General features: G+C 38.7%; 1 protein-coding gene across 8 annotated transcripts in view; it reads right to left on the reverse strand.

Moving 5' to 3' along the window:
• FRRS1 (ferric chelate reductase 1) overlaps window positions 1-4471 on the reverse strand; it is a 62666-nt gene extending 58195 nt beyond the window's left edge. For 5 of the 8 annotated variants that reach the window (XR_946655.2, XM_017001271.2, NM_001361041.2 and 2 more), the window contains exon 1: window positions 4443-4471. The gene's annotated coding sequence lies outside the window, so the exon portion shown is untranslated. Of the gene's footprint in view, window positions 1-3132; window positions 3630-4316 lie in introns of those variants that run through there. The other 3 variants (NM_001013660.4, XM_011541451.4, XM_047420239.1) reach the window with 2 other exon arrangements.
• Window positions 4472-17234: the final 12763 nt, after the last annotated feature.

Here is a 17234-nt window from a genome sequence, read left to right on the forward strand (position 1 = left end):
AATGAGCATGATTTGAATTGGAGCAATGGGAGAATCAAAGGTAGAAATAAAAAAGTGAGAATGGACTTTTGGGGGGACTGCTCTCTCCACAGAAACTCCATAAGCGTTAGTTTTTCCTAATAAAGTTTATCATGTTTTTCCACCACATTTTTTGGAGGCAGTAAGGAAGTCTAACTAGAATCAAAATCAAATGTCAGAAATAGTCATTGTAAAAATATTTTAATTAAGTCTGGTTCCTCTTTTACGTCTCTTTCATGAAAATATCCTTCTCCAAGACTTTTTCTCTTGGCTTTTCTTTCTTTCTTTTTTTTTCCCTTTTTTTTTTTTGCCCTGTTTCTCTGTAGGATCATCACTTCCACAGCCTCAATTATAACCTCTAGGATAGTATTTCTTAAATCTTTCAATTGCTCCACCCCACAGCTCTACAATGCTGTGACACAGATTTCCAACTGGGTATGGACTTCTGTTTAGATAACAAAAAACTCAATTTGTCTGAAGTGAAATTCATATTTTCCTCCAGACTAGTTTTTGAACCTCACTTTCCTAATCTGATGGTGGTCTGTCAACACATTTCTCATCAGCAGGATTTCAAACCCCGAACTCTCAGGATTGGATTCCAAACACTCTTTTGGTCCCCAACTTCCACACAAGCTCTGCAGATTCTACCTCCACCAATTCTGCACTCTACCTATCCCTCTTGCAACTCTCTTCTACTTTCCATTCTATTACATTTGTCTAGTGTTTTCCTTTCTGCCACCACCTCCAAGCATGAAGACTTCATTACCTTCACTCAGATTAATAAAACACTTTCAACTGGTCTCCCTGTTTCTGTATCTCCTCAACACAGGATTATTTTCCTAAGGTACAATTCTCATTATACCTCTCCTCTCCCCGCAAAACACTCAGCAGCTTCCCAAGAATTATTAGATTAAGAAGCAAAGGCACTCGACATTTAATATTTTATACTTTTCTACACAACCAAAATTTCAAGAATTTTTTTTCCCTATACTGTAATAACAATGTGCCATCTGCTATTCCAGGAATAAGCTTCTTTTTCTCCTGAAGTTTTGCCTTCTAAATGGGACCCCTATTTTTCCCCTAAATGGGACCCCCTATTTTTATATGGACAGGAATTTGGTTAAATTCCTGTCCATATAAAAATAAATGTTACACTGAAAAATAAGATACAATAATCTCTGTACACTATGCTCAAACTAGGTAGAACTGTGTATTCCCCATTATTTCATGTAATATGCAAAAGAGTAATAATATCTGATATAAGCAAGGATGTGAAGAAACGAGCACTCTCATACACAGGGACAATGGTAAACTGTCACATTTTTAGATGTTAACAATATCTTAGTAAATTAAAAATGTTTATCCTCTGACCTGGAAATTTCATTTCTAGAAATGTATCTTACAGTTCGGGCGCAGTGGCTGACACCTGTAATCCCAGCACTTTGGGAGGCCCAGGCGGGCAGATCACCTAAGGTTAGAAGTTCGAGACCAGCCTGACCAACATGGAGAAACCCCTTCTCTACTAAAAATACAAAAGTAGCCGGGCTTGGGGGTGCATGCCTGTAATCCCAGCTACTCGGGAGGCTGAGGCAGAAGAATCGCTTGAACCCTGGAGGCAGAGGTTGAGGTGAGCCGAGATGGCACCATTGCACTCCAGCCTGGGCAACAAGAGTGAAACTCTGTCTCAAAAAAAAAAAAAAAAGAATGAAAAGAAAAGAAATATATCTTACAGAAAAACCCATACAGTTAAGCAAGGATTATTTCCAGTAGCAAAAATGTTGGATAATTTAAGTGGTTACAAAAATAAACTACGCTATACCCAAACTATATAATACTTGCTAAACGTTAACAAAATGAAATAGAGTAAACAGATAACAAATACATCAGCTAATAATTATTGAGTGCATTCTAGGAGGTAGGCATTGTTTTAAGTACTTTGCAAGTATGAACTCATTTCACAAAAATCCCAAGACATGAATCTGCATGTTAAGAAGATACATGCTCATGCTCCACTGAGGAATCAAAACAAGAAAACTGCAAAATGATATGGAATGTACCAAAATATACATAACTTAAAAGGAAAAGAAAAAAACCTTTATACATGCTTCCAATTGTTCTCAACAGTGTTTACCCCTTAGGAAGGTATGTGTTTTCAGGATGGGAAGAGTGGGCTTCCTTTCTTTAATGCCCTTTATAATGTGCATTTTTTTTAAAGCATGTAGTGTTTTATAATTTCAAAAAACACTACAAAGTATGTACATGTAAGACTGTACAGAAACTGATTTGAAGGTGGTTAGATATTTTCTTTTTTCTATTTTCAAACATTCTATGTTACTTTTACTATTTTTGTTTGTTTTGATAAAGAAGACCTTCACCCCTCTTTCAAGATCCATTTAAAACGCCGTCAACTACTGTCCTATGATACAATGAAGTGTATGGACTTTGAAATATCACAGACCTAGGTTTGAATCTGTCCATTAATGTAATCCAGCAGGCACCACCATAGTGACCCTGGACAAATTATTTAACCTTACTGAGTCTTAGTTTTCTCACTTGTTAGAGACAATGCCACCAATATCAATGGCTTGCATGAGGATTAAATAAAATACTATCTCCAAAATATCTAGCACAATGACCACCATTAACAAAGTCTCCCATATAAAACTGTCTTCCTTTCTTGGATTCTTGCCTAATTCCACCAACCTGAAATAACTGTTCACTCCATAAGCTTTAGTTTTTCCTAATAAATTTTATCATGTTTTTCTGCCACATTTGGTGACTTGTCTTTTGGTAAACCTCTGGATATCAGTAAAGGTGTCCTACACATTGATCTCCATTCATTCTGACTAGCAGACAACCTTCAAAACAGTACTCATACAGTGTGATTGTTATGTGAATTTTGAGAAAATCCAATATTAAAAAAGCTGACAGGTGTGAAACAGAGAGTACACTTCACCAAAAAAATCAACATACTGGCTAACTAAATGACGAACTAAAACTCACTTCTCCAACCTAACAAAACCATCTCTTAAAAGGTCTTTGTTTTCAATAAGCTGATAGATCAAATTAAGCCCCCAACTTCAGTTCTATCCCAGTATAATACTCAAATCTTACCACTTTTTTAAAAATACAGAAGTGGCTGGGCGCGGTGGCTCACGCCTGTAATCCCAGCACTTTGGGAGGCCGAGGCAGGCAGATGACCTGACGCTGGGAGTTCGAAACCAGACTGACCAACATGGAGAAACCCCGTTTCTACTAAAAATACAAAATTAGCCGGGTGTGGTGGTGCCTGCCTGTAATCCCAGCTACTCAGGAGGCTGAGGCAGGAGAATTGCTTGAACCCGGGAGGCAGAGGTTGCAGTGAGCCGAAATCCCGCCGTTGCACTCCAGCCTGGGCCACAAGAGCAACACTCCGTCTCGAAAATAATAAATAAATAGGCCAGACGCGGTGGCTCAAGCCTGTAATCCCAGCACTTTGGGAGGCGGAGGCGGGCATATCACGAGGTCAGGAGATAGAGACCATCCTTGCCAACACAGTGAAACCCCGTCTCTACTAAAAATACAAAAAATTAGCCGGGCGTGGTGGCGGGCGCCTGTAATCCCAGCAGTATACTCAGGAGGCTGAAGCAGAAGAATCGCTTGAACCCGGGAGGCGGAGCTTGCAGTGAGCCGAGATCGCGCCACTGCACTCCAGCCTGGCGGACAGAGCGAGACTCCGTCTCAAAAATAAATGAATAAATAAATAAATAAAAATAAAAAATAAAAATACAGAAGCAAATGAAAATATCTGAACTGAAAAGTTTAGCTATGTTAAGAAATATTCCTAATAACACATTTACAATTTGAAAAATCCCCTTTACCCTTTAGGGCAGTATGACAAGCACACACAAAAATAAGTGCAGTGATAACACCTTGCCACCCTGGAGTCTTTCTGAAATTTTAACGACACACCAGGGCTAGGGAGTGGGAGGGTAAGGGGACTAAAAGTTCTAGATAAAAAGCCACTTTAAAAACCAAATAAGGTTCTAAGTGACCCTGATATAGGTAACCATGCCACTAGCTTTAAATATAAAAAAAGAGTTCCTACAGTTTTAAATTTAAAATTAAAAACAAAAAAAAAACTCCTGCAAGAATAAAGTCAATGATTTTCAGGATCCCAAACACGTCTCTACTTATAACCACCCATATCTTGGAATTAAAGCTTGTTAGTCAAAGTCACAGGACATATTAACCTAACTCGTTAGTGAACACTCATTAGCTCAATTCAAGCTCCAGAACATAGTTTCGGAATACAGCACCCGTTCTGCCTGGCCGACTGCCCTGGTCAGCACAGGCACTCGCTCTCCAGTCTGTCGCTAAGCTGGATTTGATTTTTAACGCTTTACAAAGAGCTTTGACATTAAGGAAAAAGACGTGACACTTACCTTGAGAAGCGAAGGCAGCCTAACCAACTTCCGGTTTTGTTACAACTTGTATCACATTTCAGCAGCTGGGTGGAGCCAGTTAAGCCTTGAGCCAAAAGGGAACCTTTCCCAAACTAAGCTGCAGAACTTGATTTGCAAGACCAGTGCTAGTTTTAGGACTCCATTTCTGAAAACTTAGAATTCTGTTTTACACTAAGGAACAGTGTTTGCCAACTAGTACCTACTTCGCCACAAAAATTATAGTTTTTGTGTTTAATTGCAAAACTATTTGAAAATACCTGTTCTATAATAGTGCTAAGTAAAAGCAAATTAACTTTTAAAAAGTGGAAAAAGATCAGATTGCATAGAACCGAAACCTTTCTGCAGTGTGAATGATATAATGCAAAAGAAATCTTTTATTTTGCAAATTACCCCTGAAATTTAGGAGTTTTGTTTCTTTTTAAGCCTTTAATCTGTTTCACAAGACTCTTTTGCAAAAGAAAAATTTTAGGGCTAGGAAAAGACAATGTAATTGAATTTTTAACAATCTTTGTTTTTATTTTGTTTTTTGTTTTCCTGTTTTTTACTTTTTTTCTTCTCTTTAATGTAATTGAAAATATTAAACATTCCATTTCAGACCTTGAGTGACATTGTAATTGCCCAGTGGGTTCACCTTGCCCGCTGTCTAGACAGAGCCGATTTATCAAGACAGGGGAATCGCAATGGAGAAAGAGTAATTCACGCAGAGCTGGCTGTGCAGGAGACCGGAGTTTTTTGTTTTGTTTGTTTGTTTGTTTTGTTTTGTTTTGTTTTGAGACGGAGTCTCTGTCTGTGGCCCAGGCTGGAGTGCGGTGGCATGATCTCGGCTCACTGCAGCCTCCCCGTCCTAGGTTCAAGCGATTCTCCTGCCTCAGCCTCCCCAGTAGCTGGGACTACAGGCGCCCGCCACCACGCCCGGCTAATTTTTGTATTTTAGCAGAGACAGGGTTTCACCATGTTGGCCAGGCTAGTTTGGAACTCCTGACCTCAAGTGATTCCACCTGCCTCAGCCTCCCAAAGTGCTGAGATTACAGGCATAAGCCACCGCGCCCAGCCCGGAGTTCTATTATTACTCAACACAGTCTCCCCAGGATTCGGAGATCAGAATTTTTAAAGATAATTTGGCGGGTAGGGGCTTGGGAAGTGGGAGTGCTAATTGGTCAGATTGGAGATGGAATCATGGGGGGTCGACGTGAGGTTTTCTTGCTGTCTTCTGTTCCTGGGTGGGATGGCAGAACTGGGTGAGCCCAATTACCGGTCTGTGTGGCATCAGCTGATCCACCGAGTCCAGGCTCTGCAAAATATCTCAAGCACTGATCTTAGGTTTTACAATAGTGATGTTATCCCCAGGAGCAATTTGGGGAGGTTCAGACTCTTGGAGCCAGAGGCTGCATGACCCCTAAACCATAATTTCTAATCTTGTAGCTAATTTGTTGGTCCTGCAAAGGCAGACTGGTCCCCAGGCAAGAAGGGGGTCTATTCAGGAAAGGGCTACTACCAATTTTGTTTCAGAGTCAAAACATGAACTGGATTCCTTCCCAAAGTTAGTTTGGCATATGCCCAGGAATGAACAAGGACAGCTTAAAGATTAGAAGCAAGACAGAGCCAGTTAGGTCTGTTCTCATTCACTGCCATAATTTCCTCAGTTATAAAAGGCTTTGCAAAAAGCCTTTTTGCAAAGGCGCTTTCAACATATGCAGACTGGAAAATAGATTATGACCCATGCCTTGACCTGTGAATGCTGGTTATCAATCAACCCCAGTAAATTCTTTAAACCATTTTTAAAGAGAGAACAGAGAAAGGAACACCATCACGTTACGCTTTCTCTTAAAGAACTAGTCACAATTAACAAAAGCCCCTCTCTACAGGTTATTAAAGAGAGGCTTTAAATAAAGATGACCCAGAGTTGGTTTGCTATCCTAAAGCTGCTGGGAACATGAATAGTTTTAAACTAAGTCAGCTGATCTTCAGTTCTTCAAAGCCTCAAGTGGTGAAATAGCCTTCTGCAGATAACAGACCCTTTCCAGGAACTGTCCCCATTGCATGCCAAAAGTATGATATGTCTATAAAACAAAAACTCTTCGACTATATTATCAGAACCCTACATTCTAAAGCACTCTTAGGAAGTGGTACGACACAGTGGGAAGAACTGAATGGAGAGAGAGGCTAGCTTTGTCTAAAACAACCCTTTCACTAGGCTCAGTGGCTCACATCTGTAATCCCAACACTTTGGGAGGCCGAGGGGGGTGGATCACGATATCAGGAGTTCAAGACCAGCCTGGCCAAGATGATGAAACCCTGTCTCTACTAAAAACACAAAAATTCGCCAGATGTGGTGGCACACGCCTGTAATCCCAGCTACTCAGGAGGCTGAGGCAGGAGAATGCTTGAACCTGGGTGGCAGAGGTTGCAGTGAGCAGAGATCACACCACTGCACTCCAACCTGGCCAATAGAGCAAGACTCCATCTCAATAAATAATAAATAAATAAAACACCACCCCTTCTGAGACTATCATTTCTCTCCATGTCCCCAGCTATAATTCCACCTTATCATTCCCTTCCAGATCACCTCTACCAGACTCTTCATCAACTCATCAGTTGTCACAAAGGAGACCAATTTTATTAAAATTAGTTTAATGGAGCTTAGATCCTAAGAAGTTAAAGCTACCCTACTGGTTACCATTCTCATGCCTCTATATCAGCAGTTCTCAAACTTTTTTTATTTCAAGGTCCCTTCACAACTTTGAAAGATTATTATGTACATCAGAGATGCTTCTTTATGTGGGTGATATCTATTAATATTTTTGTATTAAAAATTAACAGAAAAAGTTAAATATTCATAAATTTGTTTTTAAGTGACAATAATAGTTACATGTTAACACAGTATCTTTTCTGTTGCTTATATTATTGTTTTTCAACAATAAAAAATTTAATGAAAAAGTATAGCATTTGACTAGTCTAAAAAAAAGAAAAAGTATCATTGTTTAAATTGTTGCAAATCTCTTTAATGTCTGGCTTAATAGAAGACAGTAGGATTCTCATATCTGCTTGCATTCAATCTTTTGTGATATCATGTAACACCTCATGTAGCCACTGGAAAACTCCACTGTATATTCATGAGAAAATGAGAATGAAGAAGGCAAATAAAGTATAGCAAGAACAATAATTATCATTTATTGAACACTCATTTTAACCAAGGCACATGTATTATCCTATCCATTATGAACATCCTTCAGCTGAGAATGTTAAGGACCTGTGTGGCTAAGTAAATTGCTGAAGATTAGACAGAGAAGTGGTAGACAGGATCCTAAGCCAGAACCACTGTCTCCACTGAGCACCACCGCCAAGTCTGAATGAGGTCTGATGAACCAAACTTAGGAACTTGCCTGCCCTATTATACTCAGCATTTCAAACAAGTTTACATTCAAAGAGAACGTCTCCAGTTGATTAGACACAGCCTTGACTCAATACATCCAAAACCCACCATCTAAAATAAACTTATTCTCACTTAGCCTTTAATTATATTCATCTCACCCAAACAGCCAAATTCACCCCCTCTTCTCCATCTCCACTGCCACTATTCTGGTTTATGTCCTGGACTGTTGTCTCAACTGAACTACAGTCATTATCTACTAAATGCTTCCAGTTTCTCATCAATCTAATTAGCTATCCCACATAATATGGGATAGATAATCTTCTTTTTTTTTTGACACAGTCTCGCCCTGTCACCCAAGCTAGAGTGCAATGGCACAATTTCGGCTCACTGCAACCTCTGCCTCCTCGGCTCGAGCGATTCTCCTGCCTCAGCCTCCTGAGTAGCTGGGATTACAGGCGTGCACCACCACACCCAACTAATTTTTGTATTTTTAGTAGAGACGGGGTTTCACCATGTTGGCCAGGCTGGTCTCAAACTCCTGACCTCAGGTGATCTGCCCACGTCAGCCTCCCAAAGTGCTGGGATTACAGGCATGAGCCACTGTGCCCAGCCTGGGAGAGCTAATCTTTCTCAAGTATAACTCACATCTTGTAACTCCTATGCTCAAAAAAATCTTTACTTACCTACTTATTACTTATAACTGCATGAATGAATGGCCAGATTCCGCAGACAGATGTTGTGCCAAACCTCTATCAATTCCAGTGGGGATGGCAGCAGGTTCAAAAGGCTGACAAAGACACGGAGCTAGCAAATGAGATATGGGGTTTTACTGGGGGCTTATGCACAGGGGAGAATTCAGTGGCGGTAGGCTGGAAAGGATAACCCCAGGGTATGCTTAAGTTACTGCTATCAGCTGCATTTACCAAATAACAGAGGGTCAAACGAAATAATTTCTGTAAACCACAGTGCTTGGCACAAAAATAAGTATTTAATAAATAGAAGTCAATAGCAAAAAAGTTTTGATAGTGGCTTTTTAAATGAAATGTCCCTTCTTCGCAGTGCTATAAATAATACATTGTTCCAAAATTATCCATGGACTTCTGACCAAACTCTGGTCAGTAAATCCATGTTTTACTTTCTGACAACATAAAGCCATTCTCAACATTTAATTAGTGGTAATAACAGTCATCTTCATATTTTTCTTACCCACCAGTTCAAGGTCACCTCACATTATGCTCCTCTAAACGCAACCCAATCCTTATTCAAAATAATGTGACCTTCCTATGATAACAGATCCTGAAGAATATCCGCCCCTTCGTCCTCACCCTTAGCTAGAGCTGTCTGTGTCTTCCAGAAAGAGCTAACCTTATTACTGAAAACTAGTTTTGAATAATCTAGATAAAATTAAACTCTTCAAAATATTTTGTCCACCTAAAAAAAGACACAAGAGAAAATTGTCTCTAACTGTGTTGGGTTTACTCAAAAATAGAAATAAGGATTATAATCTGGAATGTATGAAATGGCAAGCCATCAGTGCCTTTGGCTTGGGTAGGGTAAGGGAAGCTATTATTAGCAAAAAATATTTACATAAACTGCTTAGAAACAGTTCCTTATTTCCAAAGGCAGAGTTATTGTCATTTCTTTGGTAGAGATGACATTACTGGGCAAGTGTTCTTCCAAGATCATCTTATCTGAATTCCTGCAGGCCTAAAGAATGCCTAATGATAAACTATCAAAGTAGGAGATGTATGAAGGACAGAAAGGGTTTTTAGAAAGTCCTTGGAAACAGTTCTTATCTCAGACATGTAAGCATGAACCTCCTTTTTGGGGGAGGGCCTTCCTGGTCCTATTTTGTCTGAGTATGACAAAAGTGATTTCACCCTGGTATCTGCAACTTTCACAATTTTCACCATTTTTTTTCATTATAAAGCCAGTTGGAGGTTATCTGAAGTCATAAAAGCCTACTCCAGTGCAAATACATAGAAGATAGCTCTTTGGTGGGATAGGATGTGGCCTTCTATTAATTATTTTCAAGTGAGATATTTCTGGCCTGGCATGGTGGTTCATGCCTGTAATCCCAGCACTTTGGGACACAGAGGCAAGTGGGTCACTTGAGGTCAGGAGTTCAAGACAAGCCTGGCCAACATGGTGAAATCCCGTCTCTACTAAAAATACAAAAATTAGCCAGGCATGGTGGGGGGTGCCTGTAATCCCAGCTACTCAGAGGCTGAGGCAGGAGAATCGCTTGAACCCAGGAGGTGGAGGTTGCAGTGAGCCGAGATTGAGCCACTGCACTCCAGCCTGGGTGACAGAGGGAGACTTTAACTCAAAAAAAAAAAAAAAAAAAAGAGAGAGAGAGAGATATGTCTTTGTTGTAAGAGACTGTCCTTTGCATTGCAGAATATATAAGCATCCCTAATCCTAGCTATGAAATCCCAAAAGCCCTCTTCTTCCCCATAGTGATAATAAAAAAATAAAAGAGCAGCAACACATTTCCAAAGTTGTGGCCAGAAGCAAGAATAATGCCTCAATCCACTCTGTAAGGCTTCGATTAGATGGATGACTCTGGGTCCTAATGGAACAAAGCATTTTGCTTTCGAAGAAAATAAATGCTAAGATAGAAAAGAACTAGAATACTACCTCTTCCTAGTGAAGAATAGTGCAGCTTCTTCAAGTTGACACAAAAATTCAAAAGAAGCTTAACTTAAAATAAGTCTAAAAAGGCAGAGGTATGTAGTGAAAAGAGCATTAGATCATCCTGGATAAATCACTTATCCTCTCTATTTTTGTTACCAAAACAGTAAAGATAAGGAGTTACAAGCAGAACTGTATATTCTCTGAGTTCCCATCCAAATTCTAAATTCAGGTTTCTGATGGATAAGAAGAGACAGAAAATAAGCCAGAGTTTCTGGGCGGGCATGGTGACACGTATCTGTGGTCCAGCTATTCCAAGGGGCTGAGGCGGAGGAATCACTTGAGCCCAGGAGATTGCACCACTGCACTCTAACCTGAGTGACACAGCAAGACTCAGTCAAAAAAAAAAGATTGAGAGGCACTACATTCAATAAATATTTTGTCAAGCACCTACTATATGGCAGATCCTGTGCTAGGCCCTACTTGTATAAAGTAGCTCCACATTTACTCTAATATATTGTGATTTTCTAGGTGGGTAATACATGAATAGATGACTGATAGACTGATAATTACCTAATAGATAAATAACCTGATAGACATACAGTTCTCATTGCTTTCCAGATATCTGACCTGAGCATACTCTTTGTCCAATACCCAAGAGTGTATGTTTTATGAAGGTGAGTTCAGTTTGTACTTGGATAAGCACACGTACTCTCACAGCTTCAATTATCATGTTGATATTAATAAACACCCAATATATAATCACAACACTCACCTTTTATATATTAGTAAATGCAAGTACTGTTTTCCTAACTGCTTTCAAGGCAATTGAACATCTTTCCATTCAAAAACTGAATTCACTATATTTTCTCTTCTCTCAACATTTGTGGTAGATTGAATGATGGCCCCCAGAAAGATATCCACTTCTAAATCTCTGGAAACTATGAATGTTACCTAACAGCAAAAAAGGACTTTGCAGATGTTCTTAAATTAGGATCTTGAGATGAAAAAATTATTCTGGATTATCCAGGTGGGCCCTAAATGCAATCACAAGTGCCCTTAAGAAAGAAAGGCAGAGGGAGATTACACATGGTTGCAGTTTATGATAATAATTATTAAGAATAGGCGGCCAGGCACGGTGGCTCATGCCTGTAATCCCAGCACTTTGGGAGGCCCAGGAGGGAGAGTCACCTGAGGTTAGGAGCTCGAGACCAGCCTGACCAATATGCAAAAACTCCGTCTCTATTAAAAATACAAAATTAGCCAGGCGTGGTGGCGGGCGCCTATAATCCCGGCTACCCGGGAGGCTGAGGCAGGAGAATAACTTGAAGCCGGGAGGCGGAGGTTGCGGTGAGCCTAGATGGCGCCATTGCACTCCAGCCTGGGCGACAAGAGTGAGACTACGTCTCAAAAAAAAAAAAAAAAAAAAAACCTGGAAGCGGCAAGAAAAAATTCTGAAAAATCTGCCCTAGAGTCTCTGGAGGAATATGTTTTCACTGACACCTTAACTGTGGCCCAGTGATACTGTCTCTGGACTTCTGGCCTCCAGAAATGTGAGAACTTAGTTTCTGTTGTATTAGCCACCAAGTTTATACCAATTTGTTACAGCAGCCTCAGGAAACAATTTCTCCTTGTTTATCAATCAGTGGTACCCATTCTCTTCAACACTCAAACTAAAACTAGAAATAATTTTCAATTTTTTATCCTTTTCATAGCTTATAGCTCTGAGTTTTTCAGCCAGGAGCCACAGCCCATTTATCAGTGGATTGTAAAATCTTTAATGGGTATACCCAAAGGAATTGAGAGCAGAGTCTCAAAGAAAGATTTGTACACCCATGTTCATAGCAGCATTATTCACAATAGCTAAAACATGAAGGCAACCAAGCGTCTAATAGATAAATAACTAAAATATAGTAAATATATACAATGAAACATTAGCCTTAAAAAAGAAATTCTGACATACGCTACGACATGAATGAGCCTTAAAGATAGTCACAGAAAGACAAATACTGTATGACTCCACTTATATAAGGTTGTTAGAGGAGTCAAAACCATAAAGTAGAACAGTGGTTCCCTGAGGCTGGGGGTACAGAGAAATAAGAAATTATTGTTTAACGGATAGTTTCAGTTTTACAAGATGGAAAGAGTTCTGGAAATGGATGGTGGTGATGGTTACACAATATCATGAATGTATTGAACATCGCTGAACTATACACTTAAAAAATGGTTAGGATGGTAAATGTTATGTTATGTGGATTTTACCACAATTTAAAAAAAAATCTTTAGTGAATCACCACCAAAAACATTTTAGTAAAATAGAAAAGAAAATGTCAGAGTACATTATATATGATAAGGATAAATAAATGTTGTTTCGTAAACTTTTTCTAATTGTATCTGTGAGTAGATATGTCCTAGTTTATGAAATAAACTGGGTGACAGTCCAAAATCTTGAAACAAACTGCTTTTAATATCTCATCAAGTCAATTATCAATCAGTTTCTTCTTTCTCAATACTCACACGCAGGTGTTTTCCCCACTTATTTATTCTAAGCAGGGCAATGTGGTGCTGTGGAATCAGATGACCCAGGATTTGAAGATAAACTCCACCCCTAACTTTGTGATCTGGGGGTCTCTGAACCTGTTTCCTCATAGTAAAATGAATATGATATTACTCTCCTCATAATGCTGCTCTGAGGATTAATTGAGATAATAAATGTAAAGTGCTTAGTTCAATGCCTGAAGATAAAAATTGAGAAAAGGTATGCACTATAATTATCTATGCTCTAAATCTTTAGACTATAGCAGTAACTTTCTAACTAATCTAACTTCATCTCTCATCGCTCCCATCAATCCTGTCCACAATGGCCCAACCTCAGTTTAATCTTCCTAAAAGATTCCTTTTATCAATAATGTACTGTGATTTACCATGGTTTATACAGTGATATCTGTACTCTTTCTGACATTCACAGCACTCCACGGTCACACTTTGAGCATTCTTATTGCTTTTCCAGCTGGTACAGCTAACTCAGTCTATTAAACACTCATTCCCATCTTTTCACCTTTGTTCATGCTGTTCCCTTATCTCCTTTCTTTTCTTTTTTTCAACTATCCAGACATTGTTGAGAATCTCCTTTCTTTCCACCTATTTAATACCAGACATTCTTCAAGGTTTAGCAAAAAGTCGCAATTTATCTATGGAACTTTTCTGACAATTTGAACTAATATTAGTTCTGCCATCTAAAAAATGACTTCATGGTCAGGTAAAAAGATCATGCTTTCTGAAATCAAATTCACTTAGCTTGAAATCCCAGCTCTGCTCATTAATAGCTGGTTGACTTCAGGCAAGTTTCTTAACCCCCTAATTTTACTTTATTCACTTGTATAAAAAAGATGATACATAAGTGGGGTTGTTGTGATTATATTATAACAGAATATTTCCTCACACTAGCATGGGAGTGATCTCGAAGACTTCCTTATAACACAATCTTTAATGTCTTAAACACAATCTTTAATGTCTTACATCAAAGTGAGAAAACACACATTACATAAGCTGCCATTCCCACACTTGAGCAGCCATCATTAATTACTTGCAATGCCCTTCACTACTGACCCCAGAGATGGTGTCAGAACTCTTCTCAATCCATTATACCAAGCAGTCAATAACAATGGATGAAAATTCAGTCACTCTAAGCAATCAGTGGGGCAGTGATTACTCTCTCTAATCTGTCATTACTTTCAACTTCCCTTTTTAGAAACTGAAAAAATAGATGTTAAATAGAAGGCCTTACCTTAATTTAAGTGGCAGAAAGATAGAAGGCTTCATCTTTTGTTTTTTACCTCTCTTCAAATTCTATTTGAATATCAGCTCATTTTAAGGCCAGATTTATTGACTATAATGAAAGGATGGCAGACATTTTTTATCCTCTTTAATTATGTAATTTTCTTTTGTGGCATTTTAATTAAGTACAAGACAATATTAATGCTTTGTGATTATGTGCCACAGAGATGGTAACACTGATCAAAGTAAAAATATTAAAAGGTTGACTCAGCTCTGCCGAATAATAAAATCTCTGTCAATTACCTATAGACATAACATAAAATCAAAAGTTGTGATAATGATCAGTAGCCTTTACTGTTTCCTATCAGTTAGGGTTATACTACATTCACATTTCTGTCATTTCTCTTATTAAATCTATGAAACTAGTAAAACAAATAAGAAATAAAAATTCAAGGAAAAGAGTAAAATAGCACTTAGATCTATTCAGCAATAACCTAATTTTTATTTACCAAATTTTGACAATAAAAAGGTACCATTTACTATAGAATTTTTGCTTTAGCAGCTCTTGAGCTACGTGACCTATTCAAAATGTCATTTATTTACAAGATGGCTCAGGTTCCGATCAGTTAAGTGACAACCTTTAATATATACAAAAGTAGTCTCAATACTGAAAGAAACAGTACTCTCCACAAGCAGATTGAGAATCAATCTAATGATTGAGTTAAAATCAGTTTATTTTATTTTATTTTGTTTTATTTTATTTATTTATTTATTTATTTTGAAATGGAGTTTCACTCTTGTTGCCCAGGCTGGAGTGCAATGGCACGATCTCAGCTCACTGCAACCTCCGCCTTCTGGGTTCAAACAATTCTCCTGCCTCAGCCTCCCAAATCACTGGGATTACAGGCACCCGCTACCATGCCCAGCTAATTTTTGTTATTTCTAGTAGTTACAGGGTTTCACCATGTTGGCCAGGCTGGTCTCGAACTCCTGACCTCAGGTAATCCGCCCGCCTTGGCCTCCCAAAGTGCTGGGATTACAGGCGTGAGCCTCTGTGCCTGGCCAAAAGTCAGTTTACTATGCACAAAATATTATATAGTCAGGGTAACATTTATCATGAAAGCTGGTAGCTTATCTAACCATTTTTGCAAGAATCGTTTTTCTCCATTGGGTAAATTTTCAAAGTTGTAGGATTTAAAATTTAACAAATATAAAGCGTAAAGATAAATAAGACAAAGTCCACCTTTCAGGAGCTCCTAGTTTAGCAGGACAGACGGACAGAAATCTAATTAAATAATCAGTGTAAATGGTGTGCCACTTGCTGTGGAAGATTGTATAGTAGGAACGTATGGAAGCTGAGAAAGCAACTCCCAGCTGCTTGCATGAGTCTGCACAGAGAAGAAAACACAAGATGGGTGTCTCCAAGCAGACTAGCAGGACAAGGGCATCCTAGACAGGAAAAATGAAACAACAAACACCAGTTATTTCACAGAGGTATAAACAGCATCATGCATTTTGGGAATGGGAAATAATCCTAGAACATGAGTGAGTCATAAGCAACATGAGTCCTACCCTTCAGCACACGAGAGGAAGCAGAAGTTTGTCTATCCTATAGTGTCCCAAAGTTGAATGTAGGAGTAAAAGCCTTTAAAAGTTCCATGAAAACTGAGAGCAGATACCAAACGTAGTATCCTGACAAGGCAGCAATATCAAAACAAAAAGAGCAAATCTAAATTTGGTCATTAATCAAAGCAACCATTGGGAAAACATGCGTGGAAATAAGTGGCCAAAATAAGGAATCCTGACAACCAAGAATAGCAGGAGAAAGCAATAATGGAACAGGATAGAAGTGGTGGTCCAGATGCATTCTGGAATGGCACACACAAGTCTTCAGTGACTTTTTATGCAACAGTGGGCTGGCCATAAACCAATCAAAACCTCCTAATAAGATAAAATAGAATAAACAATAAATAAAAAATTTTAAAAATTAGAAAATAATTTTTTGAAGATAAAATGGAAATAACACCACCCACTCTGCAAAATTCTCAGATTCTCCTAAAATGTTCAGTGCAATTTTTTTTGTCTTCTGCCTTTTTTTTTTTTTTTAAAGACAGGGTCTCGCTCTGTCACCCAGGCTGGAGTGCAGTGGTGCGATCATAGCTCACTGCAACCTCGCTTCCCAGACTCAAGCCATCCTCCTGCCTCAGTCTCCTGAGTAGCTGGGACTACAGACGTGTGCCACCGCACCCAGTTAACTTCTGTATTTTTAATAGAGATGGGATTTTGCCATGTTGGCCAGGCTGGTCTCAAATTTCTGGGCTCAAGTGATCCAACTGCTCAGCCTCCCAAAGTGCTGGGATTACAGGCATGAGCCACAATGCCTGGCCTTTAAATTATTTTTTAATTAGACGAGTACTATAGCTACACAATTTTATTGTAAAAATTGAAACAGAGTAAATTTAAAATGTAATTTGATACCACCCAATCCCAAATTTTTTCCAAAAAAACAATTATTGTTATCAGTGTCCTACCTCCTAAGCATTTGTGTTTTATGTACTTGCAAAAACATATGGCTTTGGTTTTGTAACATAAGTAGCATCATTCTCTGCATGTGACTCTTTTCATATTTTTTTCATGTAGTGATATATTGTCAAAGAATAACTCAGAGACCTTTAATTATTTTGCATGCTTTTTATTTCTTACATGAGGAAGGTAGACATTAGACTGTCAAGGGACAAAGGCAAAAAACAGGACTTATAAGAAAAATGGGAAAGCAAATAAACCTGTAGGCAGTCTGGGAATAGTGCACCCTTTTCTCCATTTTTGGTGTAAGCTCTTTCACCAGCAGCTAGCTAAAAGACCACTCCAGACAGTCTGCCATTGAATAGGCTGGCTAGGGAAAATGGAGAAAATAATTTCTGTAGTTTATGGATTCTCCCAAAAACCTTGAGAGTCCTTGAAGAATTTACAGGAGCAGCTGTTTCTCT

This window comes from Homo sapiens, chromosome 1 (genome assembly GCF_000001405.40).
Source record: "Homo sapiens chromosome 1, GRCh38.p14 Primary Assembly".
In the NCBI taxonomy this organism is placed as follows: domain Eukaryota; kingdom Metazoa; phylum Chordata; class Mammalia; order Primates; family Hominidae; genus Homo; species Homo sapiens.